General features: G+C 40.5%; 1 protein-coding gene across 11 annotated transcripts in view, besides 1 other annotated feature; it reads right to left on the bottom strand.

Annotated features, from left to right (window-relative positions):
* The window catches only part of CTNNA2 (catenin alpha 2), a 1,463,404-nt gene that overhangs the window by 510,561 nt on the left and 925,443 nt on the right, over nt 1-27,400 (bottom strand). The gene's annotated exons all lie outside the window — the stretch shown is intronic.
* Nucleotides 1,395-2,024: an enhancer, noted in NCBI's record as "OCT4-NANOG hESC enhancer chr2:80363322-80363951 (GRCh37/hg19 assembly coordinates)". NCBI's record gives its function as "activates a minimal SCP1, AML or CMV promoter by ChIP-STARR-seq in primed H9 embryonic stem cells {active_cell/tissue: H9 hESC(primed)}" and the evidence as "EXISTENCE:reporter gene assay evidence [ECO:0000049][PMID:30033119]".

Here is a 27,400-nt window from a genome sequence, read left to right as displayed (position 1 = left end):
CAAAGGAGCCATATCAGATCCAGGTTTTTCTAAGACCACTCTGTTGACACTGGGGTGAATTGATTGTTTATTCCCTCTTCTGCTATACAAGATATTTATGGATTTAATAGAGTCCAAAGGATTGAAGGTTTGTCATACTTCCAGGATGCTCTGTGGAATTCCATATCAATTTTTCTTTATTTTCCACACCTAATCTTCTCCTTTGTAAAATTGACACAAAACTGAGTTTGAACTTGTCCATATGCCACCAGAATGACCTGTAGCTCTAACAGCTAATTCTTCCATCTTATGAAGCCATGCTGGGGTGGGGCATGTGTCCCCCAGCAAAACAGTTTGAGAAACTGCAGCCCAAGACACTCTATTCACAATACTTTGTTGTTTAAAATCCCAACAATGGAATGATCAAGTGTCCAAAAATACACAGAAGTCCCAATAGAAATGCCCTAGTTTATCTGAATGGCTAAGGAACTTAGAAAAAAAAAAAAGGCAGGAGATCCAGCTGTTCTAAAACCCATCCCATGGATTCCTATGTGCATGGTCCTACGTCTGAGTATCAGCCAATGTCCAAGCTCCTAACTTATTCTATCCCATTGCCTGAGAGCACCTTTCCAGTGCTTTCCACTTAACTAGCCTTTCATTAGTTAACGGGACCTCAAAGTCCCATTTCTTCAAAGAACTTTCCCATTACCTCCCTAGTCCAGGGAGTCTTAAGTCTCAGACTCCCAGGAATTCAAGGAGATTTTTTAAATTGCCTTGCTAATTCACTGTTAGTTCGTATCTCCTATCAAAATGTTCCCATCAGGTATTTTATTACCACCTTTGACAGGGAACTCACCACTTCATGAAACAGCTTCTTATGTCTTTGAGCAACTCTGACAGTTTTATAGTTCATCCTTTTACTGAGCCAAATTCAATTGCCTATAACTTCCTTCCTAGCAGCCCCAAACTCCTATCCCTCAATTAGGCTCAGTGTAGAGTGAAATAAACCCTCCTTTACCACCTTGGACTGTGGTAGGTTTCTCAAAATATCTGTATTCTGCCTTATAAGATAACAGCCCAGATTATATGTAACTCCCTGTGTGCTGTGTGGTCTCCCTCAGTAAACTATAAACTTCTCAGGAACAAGAGACATATCTTTTATTTCTGACAGCTGTTGCAATTCCTGGGTACCACAGGCACTTCCTGTGCTTGGAGCACATCACTGATGGCTGATCAGGAAAGAAGATCTTTTCACATAAAGATAACATAAACATGTTGTACGGAGGGAGGCAATGAAGAGGCCACCTTCATGCAGCAGCAGTTGTGTGCTGCTATTGTAAAGAGATAAACATGTGTCTATCCATTTGACTGACCTTCTGTCCAGTAAAGAGGTTGGGCAGAGGCAATAAAGCCAATTACACTAGACTTTATTACCTCTTAAATGGTGGCTTCATTAATAAACATAGTATGTGGCCAATGTACAATTTAATCAACAGACTCAGCGAAAATAAAATAAGAAGGGTATAAAGATCAATGGCCCTGCTTTTTGCAAGAGGCCAAAGAGTACAGACAAAAAGAAAGTCACCAAAGAAAGGAACAGGAAATAACATACAAAAGATGAAAGTGTCCACAGTAGCAAAATCCCTGAGAAGTAAGGCACAAGCTCAGAACGCAACACAAAAGAACTATAGTTGTGAGGATAAAGGATGACTAGGGTGCTCACTGGGAGGAAACTGCATAAGAAAGAGGTCAAGTTTTGGAAACCACAAGAAGGAAGAGTCCAAGCAGGGTACATTGACTATTCATAGAAGAAAGCCAACAAACTTAGCATTGGCAATGGTTGACTATAGCAATCAATAAATCACAAGACCTTCCTGCCAAAGGTCTTCTAATCCAAATCCTCATTTTACAAATCAGATGCTAAGGCTGAGAGGTTGAGTACTTTGACCAAGTCACAGAGCCAGGTTTTGGCAAAGTTTCCCAGATCCTGGACAATGATACAATGCTCTTGCCTCCTCCGCAGGCCTATGCATCAAGAACAGTCATTATGCATCAAGAACAGTCATTTATTAACGTCCAGGCACTTCTCAGGAACTTCACAACTATTACCTCATCTAAATGCTGCAACTACTATACAAAAACCAAGAATCACGTTGTCATTGTGCACAGTAGGATACATAAGCCCAGGAGATTAAGTTTACCTACTTAGTATCTCACACTAAGGCAGGAAATATTTGGGATTCCAGATCGCTCTACTTCAAAATCCTCCTTCCTCTATACCACACTGCCTTTTACCATGGGTTAGCAAGCATGGACAGTGAGTATGTTTTATACCACCATCCTCCTACCCCTGGGGTTATAAGGAGTGCACAAGGAGAAAAGGAGTGCAATTTCAAGCCACTGTGAGCAGTATCCACAGCATTTGACCTCAAGGCAGGCCAAGGATATAACTCTTTCAGGGAGCCAAGCAACTCATATTTACAGAGGTCTCCCAATGCAGTTTCTGGAGTCTAGACTGTAAATTCCTGAAGAACAGGACTGTCTTCCCAGCACTTAGCTCTGTGAATGACACATCATAGGGGGCCCACAATCAGTCATTAAACTGGATGGTTCTCAAGTGCCTATCTGAGGTCAGGACAGATTTACAGACAACTCTCCTCCAGTCAAGGGCAAAAGTGTACAATGATGCTTCCCTGCACCCTGAGAGGGCAGAAAAGAGACGTGGGACATCTGCCCAACCTCAGTAAGGCAGGATTCCTCTACAGACCTCTGAATTCTGTCTGTAACAAACACTTATGATTTCTGGTCTACCCACCTCAAAACTCTACGACAAAGAAGGAAGAGGCTGTATCTCCTGTCCAGAGCCCTCCTTCCTTTGTCTCTAGATTGCTCCCCATGAGTTTCAGGCCTGCTGGCTTTTGAGCCGCTGACATCTGTCTCCTTGGGAAAACTCCATTTGTCAGGCCTTCCTGCCAGAGTTCATGGCCTGTTGGCTGCTAGGAGCAGTAAAGTTAGGTCCTGCTGGTTGGCCCCTAGCCCAAGTCTCTCTCTGTTGGCCCTGAACTGCATCACCCAAGCCTAATCCCCACACCAGACCACAAATCCTCAGACTGTCTGTGAAACTCTTTTCAGGCTCTTTAATGCAGAGCATTATATTTAACTTTCTGCTCTTGTACAGATAAGCAGTACATGAAAAGAGAAAAATATGCAGATCACATTTTAATAAATATGGAATACTGCACCTGGCATCTATCTAAAAAAAATAATATTACCTGCACTGAGAGAACAGCAATAACACCACCATAACAATAACATTGTCGGAATGCAGAAAACCAAGATGTTTTGAATTGTGTTATAATTAGAAAGCAGATAAACAAATAGGAACATCATTTATTCATTAAAATTGTGCAAATGGAAAATCTACTTAATTAATTTCTTTGTACAATGTCTGTAAACTCTTTCGGGGAAGAAATCTAAGGAACAATTTCAAGCCCAGAGCAAGTGACACAATAACGGCTTTGAAGCACAACCGGAAAGGCAGAACAGGGGTGGTGGCTTTTTGGCAGAAGTGCTCTTTTGAGTGAGATGCTGAAGAGACAAAGCTGGCCTCATGAATGGCATGGCGCAGGCACCCAGTCATCAGTGTGCCTTAATTCCATTTGCCCTGTGCATCTGAATAATACCCACTTCCTCTTCTGTCTGCCCTCAGAAGTGGGGTCTCAGGGTCACATGGATGAAGTTGAAGTTTATTAACGGGTTTTCTGCAAACCCCCCTGGAAGGTTTACAAGCTGGGTCATTAGCGGGTTGCATATCCATTATGGTGATCATTTACCAACCAAAGGGTTTGGGGGAGGGTCAGCACTTAGCGTAGTTGCACAGCAACCATCAATTGGCCTTGGTTCCATTTGTCTCATCCCTGCCTCCTCCCTCCATGCCCCTCTTCTTACTCTTATTTGCTCCCTTCATTCTTAGGCCTCCTTCTTGCTCTGTGTTTCTCAGACACTATCCTACTCTAGCTTGCAACCTTTTCAGCCTACTCTCATCTTAAAACAAGTCCTGTATTCAAGTTAGTAATGATTGTTGGGTGAAGCTAGAGTTGAAGAATACTTGATAATATACAACACTTCTATTGATTCTCTGGGTTAATTTTCCCAACAATCTGTAAAATAATAATAGCAATAATGGCAATTATTTATTGAACACCTTGAGCCAGTCATTGTCACGTACTCTGAGTGCATTATCTCATTTAACCCTCACCATGACCTAATAGACAGGCACTAATAGTATTATTCCCATATTACTAATGAGGAACAGGGGTCACAGAGTTGATTAACTTTCTCAACTATCACAATTCAGTACATATAGTCTGTCTTAAATCTAATTTTTCATTCTTTTTCATTTCTTCTTCTTTTTCTATAATGAGCATTTGTATTGAAGGCTTTAAAATTGTTTTGCTTAGTCATATAGAGAAAATTATGTAGTTCAGTAGAAAACAACCCGTAGTTTAAAGAACACCTGTCAAGGTTATCTGATTCTGATGCAACAGGAGCTATTTTGCGACTCTGTAAATTGTAGGTGAACTGAGAACAATGCACAATTTTTTTCTATACACATGCAAATTATGTTCTGTCCAGTAGAGGTTCAATTGACTTTTCTGTCCCATTGTAGGAGAATCTAGTTTTGCTTCCATTTGCACATTCATTTCAACATTCCTTTACTCTATATACATTTGGGCTTATTTTTCACTTCTTTTTTGAATTGGTTGTAACACCTCACCTATTTCCATATTATGAGTTAAATAAAATATTTAACTTGTTTTTTGTTTGTTTGTTTGTTTGTTTCACAGGGCTGACGTAACAAAGTGCCACAAACTGGGTGGCTTAAAACAACAGAAATTTATTACTGCATAGTTCTGGAGACTAGAAATCTGAAACCAAGTTGTTGGCAGGTCCACGCTCCCTCAGAACCCTCTAGGGGAGAATCCTTCCTCGCCTCTTCCAGCTCAGGTAGCCCCAGTTGTTCCTTGGCTTGTGGCAGCATAACTCCAGTCTCTGCCTCCTTATACACAAGGCCATCTCTTCCCTGCTTTTCCAACTGTGTCTTCACATGGCGTCCTCCTTGTATGTCTGTGTCCAAAATTCCCTCTTCTTATAAGGGCATCAGCCATATTAAATTAGGTCCCATCTAATGACCTCATCTTAACTTGATTAAACCTGCAAAGACACTATTTCCAAACATGGTCACATTCTCAGGTACTGGGAGTTCAGGCTTCAACATATCTTTTAGGGGCACACAGTTCAATCCATAACAAGGTGTTCATTTTTATATCCATATGAGTCATGATTTTACCTTCTTTTGAAAATTATTATAACATCTAATAATCTCCTGACAATACATTGGAATACAAAATCACTTATTTTTTCTTTTTAAATTTTTTTCTATAGAACATGTCAAATATACATAAACAAAATAGAGAGAATAACAATGTGTCCCCATGTACCTGTGACTCAACCTCAACAATTATTAACATTCTGCTAATTTTAGTTTTACTCACATCAATGCCTGCATTTATAGGGGTTCTGCTCTTGACTCTCACCCCCATTCTCCAATTCCAGTTCACTGCTGAGTATTTGGGCTGCCAAGAGTAACTTGTTACTTTAAATAGAAATAAATAATCAATTCAAAGGTAGTAACAATGATAAAGCCCTTACACCACCCATCCTAGGAGGGAATTATATTGCTTCTAGACTTTGCACTTGGATAGTATATCATAAACACGTACTCGGATTTTATGGAGAGAAATTAATGTGTCTCTCTCCTGTGATACATTTATATTTTAACTAGAGCATATCTGGAAGGAAGATGCATGAAAGAAACTTTGAAACAGATGGAGACCAGTCTTGTCTCTACGACTCCTTGAAGTCCTGCTTATGAGACAGCCCTCTCTCCCACCTGCATGCAAGGACAGCCCAAGGTTCTCATGTAAGGCTGGCAGCATGAAGCTTTCAGTAGCAATGTGTCTACTCTTCTCCTCCAAAGTGCTCTAGCTAACAGTACGTGCTAAGACGTCTTCACTTCCACAAACATCACAATAGCAGGCATATCATCCAAGCAGAAAATTAAACTGCACAAGATATATTTATATATACATGTTTTTTGAGACAGAGTTTCACTCTTGTCACCCAGGCTGGAGTACGATGGCAAGATCTCGGCTCACTGCAACCTCCACCTCCCAGGTTCAAGTGATTCTCCTGCCTCAGCCTCCCGAGTAGCTAGGATTACAGGCGCCTGCCACCACGTCTGGCTAATTTTTGTATTTTTAGTAGAGATGGGGTTTCACCATGTTAGCCAGGCTGGTCTCGAACTCCTGTCTTCAGGAGATCCACCTGCCTCAGGCTCCCAAAGTGCTGGGATTACAGGCATGAGCCACCGTGCCCGGCTGATAGTTTTTAATAACCTACACAAGACACCTGTTAGAAGGACTGCTCTTGAGGATTTAAGAACATGTGAGAGAATGTATGTACAAGTTTAATAATTGAACACATGGTGAGGCTTAGAATTTGGGGTGGGTGGAAAAAAATCAGAGCCATGGAATCTGTGGGCTGTCTTGGAAGATTCTACCCCCTACCTGATTTGTCACTATTAGAGAGCTATGCTCTTTAGTAAATTTTCTATCCTCATTCTAGGTTCTAGTGCAGTGATGATAAAAATCCCCTCTAAGAACAAAAATCTCTTAGAAATAGATAGAATTTTATACCGTCATTACCATTTTATAAACTTTTAATTTTGAAATAGTAGGAGACCTATAAGTTGTTACAATAGTACAGTGAGTTTCTGTGTATGTTTCCACCCAGCTTTCCTCAATGATAATGTCTTACATGACCATAGTACAGTGGCTTATGCCTGTAATCCCAGCACTTTGGGAGGCCAAGGCGGGCAGATCACTTGAGGCCAGGAGTTCGAGACCAGCCTGGCTAACACAGTGAAATCTCGTGTCTACTAAATATACAAAAATTAGCCAGGTGTGGTGGTGCACGCCAATAGTCCTGGCTACTCTGGAGGCTGAGGAATGAGAATTGCTTGAACCCAGGGGTGTGGAGGTTACAGTGAGTGGAGATTACGCCACTGCACTCCAACCTGGGCGACAGAGACAGACTCTGTCTCAAAACAAACAAACAAACAAACAAAAAAACAGGAAATTGACATTGGTACAATAAAATGAACTAAACCATATGCTTTTTTGGATTTTATCAATTCTTCTCTTTTTTTTTTTGGTATAGCTGTGACATTTTCTCTCATATATAGATTCAGTATTATTCTTTTTAATCACAAGGCGAATTAATATATTTTCTTAGAGTTGGCCTACTCTTGTTGTAAGCCTCATTTCTATTTCCATCCCCTATTTATCTGGGCTTCATGAATTCTTTTTTTTCTTTTTCCATTAACATTTTAAAAAGCAACTTTATATCAGAAAATTAAAAAAAAAAGAGTACAAGAAATAACAAACACAGTCTTCAAAGCAGATTTGCTGTTTACTTATATACCTGTTTTGAGTTAAAGTATTCTCTATTCTCATTCTAGGTTCTAGCCACCTCCCGCATTCAGATACAACCACCATCGCAGGTTGACTGTGTTCCCTGTCGTTTAATCTTTCTCTACTTTGACAGGTATGTTTTATGTATACATAACTTGCATCTTTTTACTAAAGTGATTTTCAAACATTTTCTCTCACTGATATACAAATGGCAGATGATATTCATGTAGGAGAGTGGGAGACATACTCCCAACTGCAGCTCCTGGAGCAATAGTTGTAACTCTATCTCTTTTTCTCCCACTCATGAAAAATAGTTGGAATACGTGACAGACTGCTCTATAATGGGAATTACCTTGAATGTGCTCCAATTTAGAGAAACAGTAAAGCCTGCAGAAATTCTAGGGCTTTAATTATTTGTAGTAATTACTTGAACTACACCTTGTAACTGATCTCTATGTAACATAATGGTTTTAAATGGCTGCTTTAATAAACATAAGCTTTCCAGGCAAGTAGATCTTATCTTAAAACAGCAGAGCTTGACTAGAACACTGAATGGAAAAATTGTGAGCAGGTGAAAGGGTTATAGGTTCTCTTTGGCACCACCGTGATTTGGCAAATGCACTTTGGTCTGCCTCAATTTCTCTTCTTCTTTTGATCAGGTTAGTAATCCCCTCTCATCCTGCAAGACTGAGCTCCAGTTTATCTCAGTGCTCTGAGCAATTCCCACACTGACCTGTATCATAATTTTTTATTTAGATTTCAGTTCTGACTCTCATCATAATCACAAAATCCCCAGGACTTAGCATAGTTCTGAGGTTACTTGCACTCCCAGATTACTTGGGAGACTTGCAGACTTGCACTAGATGGGCAGAAGCACAGTAGAGTAGCCAGGTGACCAGGCCGATCCAGGTTCCAAAGGAATTTCCATCACTTACCAGTTATGTGGATCAGAACAAGTGATTTATGCTGTGAGTTTCATCTGTCAAATGGGGATTTTCACAGGAGTTCCATTATAGAGTTGTAGTTAAGGATGAGATGATCTTATATGCGTACCAGTTAGCTTGGCATCTGACATGTAGCAAAAATTCACTAACAGTGGTGATTGGTGCCTAGAATATTGGTGACTGCTGAGTTAATTGGGTAACTGAACCAACAGTAGATAGCCTGGCCATACAGCAAAGCCACCTGGCCCTAGAGGTGTCTAGGGATTCCAACATAGGGCTGAGAAGTGCAGGATAGGAGGTATCAGTAACACCCGTGATGACCATGAAGGTGTCTTACTCATCTCTCCCTGCAAGACAACCTGCTGTGAAGAGCAGTTGACTGACAGCTTTAACTCGCTACTCCTTTGAAGCTGCCATGGTATTTACAGAGGCTACTGAGCATGGAGGCTACAGTGGTAATTCCTGCTTAATGCGGGACCCCTGTAATAGACTTTGTTCAGGGCCTTCCCATCAGCCTGACTGAGACAGCCAGGACTGCAATTCAAGGCCCTTCCTATATAATCCTTCTTTCTTTCTGTCCATCCACAGATGTTAGGCTTGCATCATGGTCTGAGGCTCTCCCAAACATCATGTCTACTCCCATCATCATTTACAGGTGTGTTTCCCAAGATCTCTTGTACATTTAATTCCATCTTAGAATCATATCTTGGCATGAACTGACAATACCTAAAAGAAGCTTCATACTTTCTTTGAAGTGTAGATCATATGATGTTATTTATGCTGTCTTATATCCCCATCCATGGATTGCATTACAGAAGAGGCTAGCACATCTATTTCCATTTGTAGGCAATATCCAGGAGCAAAGCATAATGTTAAGGTAGTGTGTGAATGGACTTTAAGACATTCTCCTTTTCCACTTGAAAATGGCCTGGTGACGACTCCCAAACCTGGTCTAAGACTGATCTACCCATGGATCAGTAATTTTGGAATCGTTTCCGGGGTCATATAGATGGAACAGATAAAATATCAAAAGACACAATCTCAGGACTCCCTGAGCTTATAGAGAAGAAAAATATAAACAGGAAACCATTTGTACTTGGCACATTGTCGCTGCTACTTGGACTTCTGATCTTTGTGGGTTTAATTGGCACTGTTTTTTGGGTAAATTTCTGGTGTTTAGAGTTGGCTAAAGTTATACAAACTGTGCTTTACATTGGCCCATTATTTATCCGTCTTTTAACTTACGTTGCTTTGAAAACACCCATGCGTGGCAGAGGGGCAGATGTTATTATTCTGATGTTGTTCTTTGGAAAGCTGTGGCCCAGAGAGGATAGGGACTAGACTGAGCTCACAGAGGCTGGCTGTGTCAATCCTCCCAAAGCCCTCAGCTGTGCTGACTCCCATTAGAGGTTAAGTGCCTCTCATAGTACCAAGCTGAGGATTCTCTAACACTGATCACTCAAATGAGCAAAATCACATTTGGAGTAATTGCAGTTAAATTCCTTTCCACCATTAGAGCACCAGGCTTCGGTTTTCACAGCCTGACTGGCTCTGGCCTTTGCATTGTCAAAAACATTTCAAACCCAATCACAACTTCTGCCAGTGGCTGATACCCTGAGGCATGATTTGCTTTTCCTGTAGCTTCCTAAATTTCTTCTTTTCCCCAAAAACCTATCTTCTTGATCATTGCCCCCGAGAAGAATCTGATGACTTTCATCAGCATATTTTATCAAAACCACTGAGCAGAGTGAGCCATGACAATCGCCTGTCCAAAAGTTTGCAAAACATGTCAGTGAATATAATTGATATTTTAGGAAATCAATGACTTTAGAGATTTGTGACCAGTAAGAACTCTCCCACAGAGATCATACTGAGCTAAGAATAGCTGCCCCCTGTACTCCAAGTAAAAATGTCCCTCTTTAGGCTAATGATCCCTGCAAATCCTACACTAATTGATAGCCCAGAGTTCCAGAGAGTTGCACTTCAGTAAATGGTCAAAATGACACATTTGGCATTAGTGTCTTGACTCTGTCTCCCTCAGGTGCAATCTCCTTTTCAAATCACTCCAGCAAGACAACCATCCTAACTGCTAATTTGCAGTCACAGATCTCTACTTCATTTTCTATTCTCCTTCTTCAGGGGCAGGAAGAAGGGGCTAGGGTATGGAGTCAAATATTTAAACAACCTGGGTTGAATCTCTTCCAAATAACTGTGCGTGTCCATACACTTGGCTATGTCCTAGCTTTTACATGCACACCTGGCCATACAGATTTCCACATCTGTCATGTTAGATGGTTGGAGGGAAAGGCTGATCATTATGAAACTAGTAGTCAGTCCATAGTGTTAACCACTTTCATGTCAGTTTCCCTATCTATTCTTCATAGCATATTCTTCTGCCCCAAAAGGCATAGCTGGAGTTCCTCTCTCTACAGGGACAGCAAGCTAAGGTGTATAGGGAATAACAAACATATATGCAGCTAAAATTTAACAATCTATTGTTTGCAGGTCCTATACAAAACAAAAAAAAACCTTTTGATCTAAAATAGTAAATCATTATGATAAAGACTGGCTATAAAGTTGATTTGGGGACAGACACTTCTGTTCAGGGCTCCCTAATCACAATGCAAACATCTGTTTACCTGACTAACTTGCAAGGTCAGCCTTGTCAAAGAATGCAACCTAGTCCTCATTTCAGTTTTCTCCAAAAATGTTTCCTGTCTTTTGTCTGAGAAAACAACACTGATGAATCATAGCAACAACCCACACTTGTGACTAAGAGCCGTATTTAAAGGAGAAGAGCTGAAGGAAACACAGAACAGAGTTCCCATTCCTACACCTCCTCCTCCCCATGTGGTTTTCTTAAGCTTGTTTAGCTGCTTCATCCAGTCCATTCTCTTTCTCCAAGTTTCTCTTCAGGTTTAGATGTGACTGCTGGAAGGCAAGAGAAAGAACAGAACAAGGGTAGTTGAGATTAAATCAGACAGCCATGATTTAATCAAGCCCTGAGGGAAACGGGAAAAGAAGGGTAGGCCATGAGTTGGTAGACAAGGGAAGCTGGGGAGGAAGGAAGGAAAGACGAAAGGGAGGGAGTGAGGAAGGAAGGAAGGAAGGAAGGAAGGAAGGAAGGGAGGGAGGGAGGGAGGGAGGGAGGGAGGGAGGGAGGGAGGGAGGGAGGGAAAGAAAGGGCAAAGCAGAATGGATGGAGGAGAGAATAAAGAAGAAAGTAACCTAAGAAGAAATAAAGGGGATTGGGAGAGGGATTAGGGGAGAGGGATCAAGACAGAGAGAGAGAGAGAGAGAGAATGGTAGGAGTTGGAGGTAAGAGATTTAGAGCAAAGAGAAGCAGAAGATGGGCCAGAGAAGATCTCCCCTTGAGGATTCCCCTTAACTTTCACTCTATGGGGAGGATCATTAGGGAGAGGAGGGGGTCATGCAATGGCAGTGCTTTAAAACAGTCATTTTAAACCCTCTATGTCTATAACCATCCACCCAATCTAACACTTGTGATGCTGAGCTCCCACTATTAACCAGACACCATGCTTTAGATTTGAGTTTTGCAAATTTTATAATACCTTGCCTCATTTTTCTTTTCAGAAAAAAGAGGGGAAAAACACAGAAGAAAGGTAAAAATGTAGGCAAAGAAGCAGGAGCAGAAACAGCACAACTCTACACAGGGCAAAAATCTATATAGGAGTATGGGGAAATGTTTATATCAGGCAAGAGAGGGAGGAGCTAACATTTATAGAGATAGATGGCTGAGTGCGAGTTATAGTACTAAGCACTTTCCAATCATTATTGCTTTTATTCTTTACAAAAGTGAACCAGGTGCTTCGGTATTCCCATTCTGCAGAAAAGTACAATAGCCTTTGCCTCCCTGGGCTTTCTATCATGTGGGGTATTATTGGCCTGTGTGTGGATATCATTTTGCCTTACACAAAAATTTCCATTGTAGCAGGCTGCAGAGATTAGGGATGGTGCCACAAAGCATTAAGAATTGGCCTGAAGAAAATTAGAAAGATATCTCTAATTTCAGCACCAGGCACTAGAGCAGAAATGGCAAATGGGTTTCATCTCACATGCCAACTCCAATTGATTAAAGCCAGCTTCATGAAGGAGTCTGATGAGAACCATTCTCTTGCCACCTGGGACCAGTAGGAGGAGGCTGTGGTATCTAGATAGTGACATCTGCTCTATGCACAGGATGGCAGAGGTTGCATGTGTGCCTTAGAGATGCCTTCCTTGCATGAGATGGAATGATCAGCTCCATGAGTTACTGACATCCATGTGGGCGGCCAAATGACTGGTAAAACTAATCTATCCATATCCAAGAGCTGTCTACAGTCCCATTGAAATCTCTGCATCAGAGATAGTCCTTGTCACTGTAATCTTCGTAGGTCCCCAGACTGAGGACACCATCAGTGTTGCTCAGATCCCATTTGGGGAAGGCTCCACGGTGCAGTGGAGCCAGCAATGGACTTGAGAGCCGGAGCCTGTGATTGAGCCCAGACTTGTCACCTCGAATGACACAGAGTAACTAACTTCACACTTAACACATCTTCCTCTGCTGTAAAATGTCATTTGGGCCAAATGACACCAGATATAAAATTCTAAGATTTTGATGCCCCAGATTTGCTGTACTTCAATCGTTTCAGACAAAACCTAGATTTGGTTCTCATCCAAACTGGTTCACTGATGTTCTTTCCAAAAACATTTTGTTAAATGTCTAAAATGGTACTGGTGTTCTCTTCCAAGCTGGCAAATCAGCACCGATTGTCCCTTGAATAGGCCATGCTAAATCTTCCCCTCTGCCTTGGCCCCTGCTCCACTCTCAGCTCCTCCGTGTGCCTTCCAAGTCTATTCATTCTCCTGCTCAACTTCCTCCGCAAAGCTATCAGTGACCTCGACATGTTTCTAAAACTCTCCTGCTGATGTCCAAAGCTTGACAGGGGTCTTTGAGGACTCTCAAAGATTGCATATTTATTCAGAGGAAGAGGAAGGGGAGGGGTAACCTCGCTCAACCCCTGGGAAAAGCAATGCATGGCAACGCTGTACATTTAGGTAATGGATTTAAATATTCACAATTTGACCAGGTCTCTTTGATGCAACAGAATTTGGTTCTCAAGAACTTTGGGTAGGGAAGCAAATACCAATGTCTTCACACAACTTCAACCTTTGTACTATATACGAGAAAATATTTAGTAAACTATGTTTGGAAAAAAATGAGGATATATTCTAATAGAGAGCATATTTTATAAAGAATATGAAGTTATATTTGGTTGCGAACCCCGGACCGCTACTTTCTTGATTCATGCATTTGGGAAATTCTTTTAAGGACTCTGTTATTCAATGTCTTCACTGGTAAAATGGGGACAAAAAGTATCTTAGATTATGATGAGGATCTAATGAGGCAAGGTGTGTAAGCACTTAATCCAGTCCCAAGGGTATGGTTCTGAGTCAAAGATGGCACCTGGGCCTAGATACTCTGCATAACTTCAATCAGAAATGCAGGGCAGACATCGGTAAATATGGAAACAGTGTCTGGACATAGATCTGGGGCATAAAGCTCAAAAAGGAACATGACATGCCACCAAGACTTCGCTCAGTGACGTTTCCTGCTGAAGTTAAGGATTAGTCTCACAGTGTGGCTGGTTCTAAGCCAAAACTATAGGGATGGATGTGAGAGGCAGAAGAGAGGGGAGCTTGTGAACAGCAGCAACCCTGCTTCCTTGCCTTTCTAGCCTATTTCAAAAGCATCTATCTCACAGTGTACAGGAGGATCACAGCCCCTGCTGGGCTGTGCTGGGGGCTTGGTCAGGGCCCAAATGCAAATGAATGTGGCCAGTCCTAAGAATCTGTACCCTGTTTTCCCTCAGACAATTTCTTTACTAAACTAGAGAGACGGATAAGGTAGCCACCATCACAAGCCCCATATTGCCATAGGACCTGTGAAAACATCTAATGGAAGAGGAATCCAGTAACATCCTAGTGAAATCAGATTTTGCCTTCTCTGGGTGGTTATTTCACAAGTGCTTGTTTCACTGTCAGTCTTCAAAGCCCTTTTTAAGACCTATTATAAGTACATTTGTCACAAAAATAGGAAGGAAAGCAGGGCAAGGGAATACATACTGAACAAGAAATAGGAAAGTCAGATTTGAGAAACGATTGTTCACTAGCATTCTGCAGACCTTCAGAAGTAATATTTTAGCCCAGTGATGCCTAGACCAGTTTCTGGAAAATTCCTGTTGAATACCATGTGTTATTAATGTCTCCAGGCCTTCTTTCACATCAGGCCTGGAGTATTTTTTTTTTTTTTTCTGCACCACTAACAATTCAAATGTTCTCCATCCTCTTTAAGGACAAGCTGAAGATGTTCTTCCTTGCCCTTTCATCACTTCTGCAGCCCATTCTGGTCATTCTTAAACCTGTAATATGTGTTTCTGCATTGTTTAGCACTTGTCTGCTTCATTAAGCTGTTTTCTTTCAGGAAGGGTGTAAGGACGACCCGGTTTCTCCATAAACTGCAGAAAATAAGAAAAGAACGAAATGCTTGGGAGCTGAATGAGGCAAAGCCCAACGACTGGCTTCTAAAGGGCTTAATGAAATCAGCCAGTGAATAAGCAGAAAGTAGGCAGCAGTCATGAATTAAGCCTCTCCCTGTTCTTTTCACAAGTGAAAGATGACCGGAGACTGGATGAACTTATCCCCAGAGGAAAGGAGGTGGTGGGACCCACACCATATCACCCTCAGAGACAGCAGAAGTGAGACGGTTCCATTTGAAGCTGATGAGTTTTGCTTTGGTTTTTGTAGGCGTAGTGCAGGGCTTTGCCTTCCTGGATGAGGGAAGGTTCCAGGAGGTGATAAGCTGACTCTGCAGTCTGCTCAGGAAACTAACAGAAATATTCTCCTTGCCTCTGCCAACCACTCACAGCATATGTCTTCACTCTCCAGTGTCATGTAAGCCACCCAACGGCAGGGACTGTATTATCTATTCACACACATATGCACATGCGCACACACACACTTTTGCATAGGTACCTATGGCGATACCTATACTATAACTACATAATTATCTATAATTCACTAACTTAAATAGCAGACATTTATTGAGTGTGGACTGTATCCACAGCCCTCTGCCAAGCATGGATCAAAATCTTGGGTCAATTTCCACAGAGTAATGCATATGTGGAAAACCAATACGTAAAACAGATCAACTCTGGAAACAGCTTGAAAATGACTGCTGGTCTACTTCAACCCTCCAATTTTCAGCAAGAAAAAAAGTAGATTCAGTCTGATGATATCAGTTAAAGAAGTGTTTCCTAATCTTGCTTGAAAGTAGAAATTATGTTGGGCAAAGAGAGAAAGAGAGAAAGGGGGCTGGCTGGGAGAGAGAGCAAAAAAGGAAGGGGGGAGAGAGAGAAAGAGACAGAGACAGAGAAAGAGGGGGAAACAGAGAGAGGGAAGAGAGATTGAGAGAGAGACAGAGACAAAGAAAGAGAGGGAAACAGAGAGAGGGAAGAGAGATAGAGAAAGAGGCAGAGACAAAGAAATAGGGAGAAACAGGACGGGGGAGAGAGAGAGAGAAGTAGAGAGAGAAAGAGAGAGATTCCAAGCTCCAACCCAGAGCCACGTAATTCCTTACAGAAAAAAAGGTGAGCCATCTGTGAATTTATCAAGCGTCCTGAGTGATTCTTAGCAGTCAAACCAGGGAATGAAGTCATTTTCCAAGATTCTGCATTTGTGACCAAGCCGAGGAAACTGAGTGCTAGGCTGTGGCAATTTCCCTGTTACACCCACAGCCTCGCCACCCAACAGTACTTCATGTGAGGTTCACACTTCATTCTTGTCATCCCTCATCTTTCCAAGGGGCATGTCTGATCTTCCAAACAGATGAACGGCTCCTCTAGGTCAGCAGCCAAGCGTTTTTATTTCCCATCGGACCAGGTTTACCATATAATGGATATTCAGTAATCTTCTATGGGGTTGATTCATCCGGGTTAGATTTTACTTTGGAATTACACCATTCACCTTCCCTACAGGTTCTCTCTGATTAATGAAACCTTGTGATCAAGAAGGAATATGTCATGAACAGTTGAAGGCACTGATTTTTACTTTTGCCATTTCCCACAAACCCTGGGAGAATCACGAAACTCCACTGAACATCAGCTCCTTCATCTTCAATACGAGATTGCCATTTTAGGTTTTCTTAGGTCCTTTTCAATACTTTTAATGATTCTAAGGCACTTACTATGGAAAACTGCCTCCCAATATAATTGTTATTTTTTATTGCTGCATGGTTCTGATAGACGTTAATACTAATCTCTTAGATTTACATGATACCACACTGTTTTCAAAACTTTCATATGCATTGTTTTACTCTTCAAAAACCAGCTGGAGAGGATAAAAGTAATAATAATGATTATTCCCATTATACATATTAATAAATTGAAGTACAGAGAACATATGTGACTTGTTCAAGGTGATATAACTAATAAGTGGTAGAGCTGAAATTCTAATCTATATCTACGTTGTAAAAATCTAAAATCTAATCTAAATTATAATCTAATCTGTTGACTCTGTGGTATTCAATGGTCTGCCTTTGAGAGCCTGCTATTTTCACTTAAGGGACAATTATTTGCTAATAGTAGCTTTAAAAGCAGTCTAGCCTTAAGACAAAATCAGAATTGGGAAATGGCTTCCATCAGCATTTTTTGTAAACGCAAAGCCATACCTTTTGGATTTTCACATGCCCCAGAGAGTAGATGCCTTCATTAGCCATGTTGTACCATGTGGAAAAAATCTAGAGAAAGCATTCGATTTACACCACACACTCCACTTATTTATTAGTTTTATCCAAGATGGCCATCATTGAGGCACATGGGACATAACTGTTCCAAGGCAATTAAACCAAATGTCAGTGGTTCCTACTCTGAACCAACCATCCCACCAACCAACTGCAATCAGATTAAATAGATGAGTCTAGGTATACGCCCTTAAGAGCACCTCAGAAAAATATGATCCGGAGCCCTGATATCCTGTCCTACTTGCCATCATGATTTGTGGCCAATATGATCCCCACACCATTGCCATAACTTCCTAGCAGCTGAGTAAAAGAAAATACAAATGTCCTTAAATAATTCATTCACCCAAATAGCAAACACTGGGTGACTGCCGTGTCTACAGCACTATGCCAAGCAAGGAAGGCATTAGAAAGAGCCAGTTAAAGGCAGCCACCTGATCCCCATGCAACTCTTAACCTTGGAACAAAAATCCTTCCTTAGTCTCAAGTTCATCCATCCTAAAAGGAAAAAGGAGGATCCAATGAGCACTCGGTTTCCTTCGGTTTCTATTTTTCCAGATTCTTGTTAGACCACAGGGTATCCCGAAGGAGTTTTCCATGGCATGTCAGCAAAATCCAAATACCACTCTTCAGAAGGTAATATACTTAAAACAGAAATAAAACAGTAAAATTGCACCCATATATTCACAAAATTTACACTGGAAATTATGTGCAGATATTTAGCTCAGCAAATATAGTAAGCTATTACTTTTAATGAATGAAAGTCTATTGACTGTCATCAGTCAATTTAGTTGTGAAAGGAAGTAAAAACTATCAGACAAATTAAAATGATTGTTAAAAAAAGCACTGAGGAACTTCGATCTAGTTCAAGAAAGAGAGGAAAATTTAAAAAGTTCCTCCTCAGCAATGCAGAGCCTATTAGTAATTACGCATTGTGTTATCAGCACAGTGACTGACCAAACCTTTTGTGGGTAATGGGCACTTCAGTCAAAACCAAAGGCTATTGTTTATAGATTGCCAGAGGCTTTTAATTTCCTTATAGCACATTAAAACCTAGTCCATCTTTGCCACATTTTAACCTTGTTTAGCATAAATTGTTGCACTTTAAATTCATTGTCTTACATAGTCCACTGGAGATCACATTAAGAAGTGTCATCATAGTATTCCCATGACCAAAACTTTTTAATCTCTCCTCCCCTTACAGCATATAAAAATGTAGTTATAGATGACTACCTGTCTCCAATTATTTTAAAAATTTTTCTGAATCATTTCACATTGAGGATTCAGAAACTATAAAGTTTTCAGGAAGCCTCGATAGAAGTAAATACAATTATCTTGCATGAACTTCCTATGCCTTTATTTATAAATGCCAGCTGACATATATGTTTTCAAAGTCAATGAGGCTGATCTTGACTTATAAGTTCATTTACCTAATAGTTTCACACCTACATGAACATATCAAAACTAATGATGGACATCATTAGTGGTATGACAGACACAGATATTGGTTTATCCAACAACCATTATCTAGTCCTTGCATATTCCTCCCATAGGTGCTTTCTTTGCAAGAATAACTTGCCAGCTATGTCTCCCCAATCCCTGTCCCTCTGCATTTCTTCCTGTCATGTCATAGTCTGGTGACCCAATCTAGCTAATGAAATATGTCAGGGAGAGAGTCAGGGAAATCTGAGAAATCTGATATCTGTCTGATAGATAAATGGCAGAAGACACTTCTCCTTATCAAATATTGTTGGCCTCTATAAGATGCCTGCAACCGCAACAGCCATCTTGCCACCATGACAAGCCAAACCTAAAGATCAAGCCTATGAGCTGAGGTTAGAAAAAGTCAGGGTCTTTGAAGACTTTGCTAAAACAACCGTGGTTCTGCCCACTTTCGGGCTTCTGGTTGGTTAGTATTTGATTGCTTCCATCCTAACACCTCTAATCTGATTAAAAAGAGGGTAGCGTATTGCATCCACATTTAACTCAGTTTTTACCTTTGATATACCCTGAGAAGTAGACAATACAAGACAGAAGAGATAGGTGAGATGGATGGTGGTGAAGAATCGGAGTAAAGGCTAAGAATAGAGATGTCTTCCCAGTGCACTCACATCAGGCCTGGATAGGCTCTTCTGCAGCAGACAAGCTGCCTCGGCTGGGCCCCTACAGGCCTTTCTGCCTGGGGATGCCGACCTGTGGCCTGCTACTTCTCAAAAAAGTAGCCAAAAAGTAACCAGCTCTGTGTTAATATTCAAAGGAAAAATAGCAAATTTCCTTATGTTTTCTACTTCCTTTGTTAAAGAGGATCATGAATTGGCTTCATAGAAATATGATCTACTTTAATTAAAGCCAGTGACACTGAGTAAATTAGAACGTAATTGCATTTTCCATGAATTTCACACAGCTTGCATTTTACCAAAAGAAACCCAGTTTCAGTCAACGTTTGTGTGCTGATACCTGCAATCAAAGCCTTATTAAACTAAACAAATCATGCCTTCATGGAAGTTAAGGAAGCATAAATACAAGGCTGATTCATAAAGTTTCTGATTTCTGCTATTTGGAAAGGCAGAGTTTGGAAAGAGCTATTTGGAAAGGAAAACTTTCTTTCAAGGAAAATGGAAAGCCTGGACTTCCTCCATTCCAATGACGACTTGCCCTAGAAGGCTTTGGTCTTCCTATATGACTATTCATGCCCCACGTCTATTTTGAATAGACTGATACAACTTCAAGAGAGTAGATGTTTTACAAAAAATGTTCAGGTAAAAGGAAAGTCCTAAATTTGAGATTTGGTCATCAAAAGAATACCAATTTTTAACACAATGTATTTTTCAAAACAAGGAACACAGATAAAAAAACAAACCACATTTGGGTGATAGGTAACTGTTGAGAGAGAGGGAGGAGCCTGTCTTGGTTAAGAACTTGGGCTCTTAGCAACTGTGCCAGTATCCTCTCTTTCCATGTACAGACTATGTAACAACCTTCCCGTATGTCACCCTGTCTCTAAAATAAGGATGAAGAAAAACAGTAGTCACCTCATAAGGTTATTGTTACGATTAGACTATATATATAAAATGATGGTAATACAATCAGTCTTCTTTCCAGGGTCAGAGGCAAGATAATAGTCAAACACTAATACTAATATAACACCCAAACTATGTGTTGTAAGCTGAGGTCTTATTTGAACATTTTGGTAGAGTGAAGTGCACTCACTGGAGGCTGCCACCAGCATGATCCACATTGCCTATTCAATCCCCCCAGTAGACCAGTTAGTCTCACTGCTTTTCAATGCCCCAGATGGTACTCTTACCTCCAGCCAACTGGCCTGGAAAAGCCAGCTGTGACTTCACAGGGGGTTGGGGCATGAAGCTTTCCACAAATCAGCAGAAATCCACCCACATCAAAAGATCAGTGCCAGCTCAGCCAGAATTGTGCATTTCAGCAAGTCATTTTTGGAATCAGTTGCTGGGGACACATTGTACACACACACACACACACACACACACACACACTCACACAGGAACCATCTATGCTGAATAAAATACAATTTTAAAAAACCTAAATGAGAACTCAAAAAAAGCCAGGGAAACTCTAGGTAGGTGAGTCAGTGAGATCATCCACATACATACGGAATTTATGTAAACTATGTGCCCTTGAGGTCAAATAAAAAGATTTTTATGGAAATCCTCCATTAGAGTAAAGAACTACAGTCTGAGTGTTATATGCATTGTTTTCTATTTTCTTCTCTCCACTTATTCACTAAAAACTGGTCCTTCTGTCTTGCCTAAAGGTCCAACATAAAGATATTTCTTTAGCTTCTACAGACTCTTACAGATTAGGAATTAAATAGCTTGTGAGTATCTCGACAACTGACACCTTCATAGTGGAAAGGTACTCTTGAATTTGAGCAGTATTTTGAGAAGAAAATTTTAAATCTTCTTTCTCCCAATTCCCAGAACTTCCAAGTGTGTCCATGTATGTCTAGCCTTATGTTAACACATGAATAAGTTAGCCTAAATACCTTTGCATAGACACACACACACACACACACACACACACACACACTATTTTCTTCTATTTTCCCTTCTCTGGGATTGGATTAGGCATGTATTAGTGCTTTCCACAGTTGTATCTACACACCTTGTCTCTTCTGAACTCAATATGCCCACAAGAAAACTTATCTGATGGGCTGATCAAACTCACCCTCTCCTCACATGAATGTAGCATCTTCCCTGAGCCTGTTCTTCCAGTAGCTGTTATCTCAATTACCAAAGTAGAAACCTGGCTGTCATCCTAAAATATCTAAACACATTGTCACCCAAGGGTGCTCTCTTCTCTATTTCTAATGCCCTATCTTATCCCAAGTTCTCATAATCTCTAGACCATGTCAGCAGCTTGTAGATTCATCTCATTTCTGCCAATGCTAACACACACATACACATGTACAAACACAAATTCCCACGCATATGCATATGCACACAAACATATACAGAAAATTGCACACTTTGGTAACTGCACCACTCTGTTAAAAGAGTGCTATCTTTCTAAATTCTAAAATCTAATTGTGTCGTTCTTTTTTTTTTTTTTTTTTAGCTTTTTAGGGGCTATTAATGTAAAAACTATGAATGAGTCCCCTACACCCAACCCTGTAACACACATGAACCTGTAACAGCCAGAACACAGTCCATATTCTAAACACATGGTAAACTATAGCCCACAGGTCAAATCCATCCCACAACCTGTTTTTGTTACTTAAGTTTTATTGGAACACAGCTATACCCACTTGTTTATGTAGTGGCTGTGGCTGCTTTTGTGCTATAATGATATTGCTGAGGAATTGCAACAGAGACTATAGGTAGCCCACAACCACAGCCCACAATATTTACTGCCTGACCTTTACGGGAAAAAAAAAAGTTTATTAAACTTGATTCTATACCATAAGACATTCTTTACAATTTGTCTAATATATGTGTCGATAGCTTAATATGTGACAGCCCCCATTTCGGGCTGATTGATATCCTATTTCCAGTCCATATGGGTAGAGAAACAAAGGCACGGAGAGGTTAACTGTCCAAATACATCTCACAGCAATGAAGCAAGGACCTAAACCCTGGTCAACAGGTTTCAGAACTCCTTCCTTAACTGTTATAATTGCCCTCATCTTTTTTCATGTCTCCTTAATAATCTAGAACTATTTTCCATTCCCAGAACCTTGCCCTTCCACGTGGCTGTGCTCTGCACATACTGTTCACTCTTGAAATAGCACCGTACCCAGGACACAGCATACTACAAGCTATATGTATGCCCTCCCTCTGTCCCAAATCTTTAGTGCACACCACGTTATTCATGAGCAACAGCCTCTCCCCGTCTCCCCCTCTCTCTCTCGTTACCATGCTTTAAGATTGTCAACTTGCTTTTACTGGCACAATTAATTTTGATATTTTCTATTCCAGCCTTTAGGGAATGAAGACAATGGTCCTAAAGATCTTTTTAAAATTATCAGCTCCTTGAGAGCCCAATCTTCAGAAGATGGAGTGTACTGTCTACCTCCATTTCTTCACGTGTCAGGTAGATAACGTCTTCTTCGAGGGTTAGGTTCCATTCTCTCAACCAATTATCATAAGTGTATACCATGTCTGTTAAAATAGTCTCACAGCATACAGAATCACACCTTGCAAATGCAGGTACTCATTTGCAGAGTGAATGAATGAATGATTCTTAGGCCAATGAAGGCTGGCCCACACAGCAAGGGAAGGCCTTGATGGAAATAGAAACAGTACTAAAACTGGCAGCTCACAAAGCATGAAGCCTCAGTCAGGCCTCAGCTCTTGCTGAATTATCTAACAAATCGTGTGTGTAAGTATCACTGGCCCCCAGACATCCAGTACTACCTCAAACGCTGATCTCATTACATTAGCTGCTTATTGCCTTCACTTTTGCAGGCTGCTCTGGAAGAAGCAGACCATTTCCTGAGGTGTAAACATAGCTTCTGATAATGCCAACCTCATGAGGTCAGTCTGCTCTCGGAAGTCCACTGGTCAACTACAGAGCTCAGATACACATTTCCTCTTCAAGGTTTCTTGGAGTAAGATGAAGATATGAACTGACATCTTTGATGGAAACCATGGAGCAAAAATCAGGCCGTTTGTGAGGATATCTTCAGACACCTTGTCAAGCTGAAGTCACAGCAGAGTGGTATCTGGCCCTACCCAAAAATCTCAGCCATCCTTTGAGAAGGTAGGTTAGAAAATGCAATTCTGTGGAAAGTCTGATTATGGGGATAGGAGCCCAGTGCAATGTAGCTTCTATCCAACTCCTGAACTTCTATGTGAGTGCCCTCTTCCCTCAGAAAGCCAGCGTGCTCCTCTAACTGGACACTGCATGTGAACATTTGCTGCTTCTTTATTTTTTCTGTTTCTACTCCAAATATGGAAAGTCTTTTGGTGTCAGATGAGCAGAGGATATGGCCAGTGGGTATGGCCACGAGGCTGGAACACAGATCCTGGGTAAAAAGCTTAGAGTAAGCAGAGAAAATCTACCATCTGCAAATAAAATCTAGCAAAACCTATGTATTTGATACCTGTGTTTTCATGTTTTAAAAATGAATATTTTCTTTACAAAATCCTATGTCCCAGGGTTTTTCTTAATGTATTTGAATAAAACTCTGGATTTGATATCCTGAAATCACAATAGTTTTCCCATTCAGGAACCCAACCGATTCCTATTGCATAAAAGAGGGTATATCTGAGTTTTCAAGCAACACAAGTTACCAGATATTTTTCATCTTCTCTGAGGACTGAGGAGGAAGAGACAGATATACCCAGAGGATAGAAGAACAATGTACATTATTTAGACGACGGAATTTTCTCTGTGTTCAAATTATTAAGCTCTGAGATCTTCTCTCAGTGCCCATCAGAAAGGGGGCACCCAGAAACACCTCATGATGCAGATAATAAAATGGTCATAAACACTGGAAGAGTTTGCCCTGAAAAACAAAATTCTTTTAAGTAGATTGAATAAATAGGTGGCCATAGAGGCAAAGGAATTGCCTGTATAAATAATGAAATATTCTTTAGCTTTGTTATTCCAGAAATGCACACAATATCCAGAATTAATATTCCAGAATCCCATGAATGTTTTTATCATATTTTCTTCCACCTTACCAGATAGTACTTGCATATTTATGATACACGGGGATTTAAATATCTTTTTAAAAACCCACTCTTGTCCATGAGAAAACAATAACTGAATGCAAGGGTCCCATACTTTTTCTGTAAAGGGCCAGATAATACATGTTTTTTGGCTTACATGCCAGATGGTTTCTGTCACAACTACTCAACTCTGCCATTACAGTGCAAAAGCAGCCATAAACAATAAGTAAACAAATGAGCGTGGCTGTGTTCCAATAAAACTTTATTTACTAAAACAGGTGGTGGGCCAGATTTGGCCCACTAGCTATAGCTTGCTGATTCCTGATCCGGAAGAATGACTCCCAATCTATGGACTACAGACTCATGGCAGATCTGCAATTTATAGAAAAGAAAATTCAAATCCATATGCACACCAAGAACTGTTTACTGAATAAAAATAACTTGTGTACGCCTGTACTGCTCTGTCCTCAATGTACGTCAATACAATTGTGATTAACGCATTTAAAAATAGCTTTTTTTGCCACTGGTTATCTGTCATTAGAAGTTAAATGTACAGTTATTCCCACATGAAGATCCACTGAATGTTTCACAGTATCAAATTATATGTATAACCCAAAAGCCTACATCTCCAGATTTTCACTTAAATTCATTTACTTCCTACATTTCCCTGACTTTCCTTGTCTTTCCTCTTGGGTAAAATGTGGTACACTCCTCGCCCCAGAAATATGCCTGAAGAGGCTCCCAGATCTCTGTAAAGCACACCTCAGCACTGGGGCATGACAGCCACACAGCACTGGCTGATAGATGGCATCGGCTAATCATTGCACCAGCCAGCCTTTACGCAACTCACAGGTAAGATACTGCTCCAGTCACAGTCACAGCTGGCTCCTGATTAGCTCTCTAATGGGTGGAGTACTGAGGCAGAAAATCCCAAACAACAGGTGATCCAAATATAATTTATATTTGGCTCAGCAAATGACCTTATTTTGTATCAGTTTTACCTTCATAATTATGTTTTCTTTAGACTAATACAATTTGTTGGCACACACCATCTGACAACAGAATAGGGTGCGCAAAAATGCAGGTAGGTGGCAAAGAGAAGCTGGGAAGGATGAAAATTTTGCTGGGGATACTTAAACAAATATAACAACTTCTAACAGAGAGAAACTTGACTATACATCATTCAAAGGGTCACAAAATCAAGCAGGAATTTAAAGTTTATCTGTTCTGAATGTGACAATGATGGCTTAAATAGTTTGTCAGAGATTACTCATCTAGAAGATATAAAATAATAATTATGATGATGAAGATAATAATGGTGATGATGGAAACCTGTAAAGCCTTTTTCTGACCAACCTAGACAAATTATATCCCCATCACAGTCCATCACAGCAATCAGTAAATCTTTTTCTATGAAAGGTCAAATAGTAATATAAATAGTAAATATTTTTTATGATCTCTGTTGCAAATAATTCTGCCATTGAATGAGAGTATTTGTGTTCTAACAAAAATTTAAGTATGAATATCAAAATTTCAATTTAATATAATTTCACATATCAAGAGATCTTTATTTTTTAAATGTTAGCCATTTAAAAATGTAAAAACAAATCTCTGCCCCAAGGCAGTACAATAACAGGTAGCCAGCCAGATGAGGCCCCACCCCTACTTTATCTCATCGCCCTGTCTTACTTTAAATCCTTATTATTATTTGAAACTATATTGTACATTTATTTCTTGTTATAAACAGTTTACTAAATTTTTATATTGTATCTACCCTCACTCAAATATAAGTTCTTCAAGAACAGGTACCATTTGCATCTCTTTCAACTAGGTATCATCAGTGCCTAGAACAGTACCTGTGAAAGATAGATCTTAATAATACTTATTGGATATCCAAAATGAATGGCTAAATATTATTATTAGCCATATAGTGATAAGCATTTGCCACTAGCAAACTTCAAAACACCTCTACGTAAAAATATATTTTTAGGCTAAACACAGTGGCTCATGCCTATAATCCTAGTACTTTGGGAGGCTGTGACAGGAAGGTTGCTTGAGATCAGTCTGGGCAACATATTGTGACCCCATCTCTACAAAACGTAAAACAATTAGCCTAGCGTGGTGGTGCATGCCTGTGGTTTCAGCTACTTGGGAGGCTGAGGCAGGAGGATTGCTTGAGCCCAGGAGTTTGAGGCTGCAGTGAGCCATAATCTTGCCACACTGCACTCTAGCCTGGGCAACAGAAGCTAGATCCTGTCTCAAAAAAGAAAAGAAATATTTTACCTCAACATCAAGCCCTTCATAGGTAAAGGGAAGAGATTATTTTCCACATTCTATATATAAGTAAATGTGGAGAGCTGAAGTGACTGGCCAGAGAGGACAGCTGGTCATGTGCAGGGCTTGCATTGGAATGTGAGTTTCCTGCCACATCCAGGCCTCTGTTTATTGCAGCAAACCAATTTCTCATGTAGTCATAGCCCCCAGGCAGGCACCCTTGCTCACAGAACCATATTGCCTAAACATTTTAAATGTGAGATGCTGAATAATAAAACAGAATGTAGAAGATTTTAAAAGTATCCTTGATATGTTTTGGCTGTGTCCCCACTCAAATCTCATCTTGAATTGTAGTACCCATAATTCCCACATGTTGCAGGAGGGAACCGGTGGGAGGTAATTGAATCATGGGGGCAGTTACCCCCATGCTCCTGTTTTTGTGATAATGAGTGAGTTCTCACAAGATCTGATGGTTTTATAAAGGGCTTTTCCCTATTTGCTCAGCACTTCTCCTTCCTGCCACCATGTGAAGAAGGACATGTTTGCTTCCCCTTCCACCACGATCATAAGTTTCCTGAGGCCTCCCCAGCCATGCTGAACTGTGAGTCAATTAAACCTCTTTCCTTTATAAATTACCTAGTCTTGGGTATGTCTTTATCAGCAGCATGAAAATGGACTAATACAATCCTCCTCTAATGAGTTTCAACCAAAGTTTCATCTCTG

Source organism: Homo sapiens, chromosome 2 (genome assembly GCF_000001405.40).
Source record: "Homo sapiens chromosome 2, GRCh38.p14 Primary Assembly".
NCBI lineage: Eukaryota > Metazoa > Chordata > Mammalia > Primates > Hominidae > Homo > Homo sapiens.
Note: the sequence above shows the minus strand (reverse complement) of the source record. Positions and strands in the feature narration are given on the sequence as shown.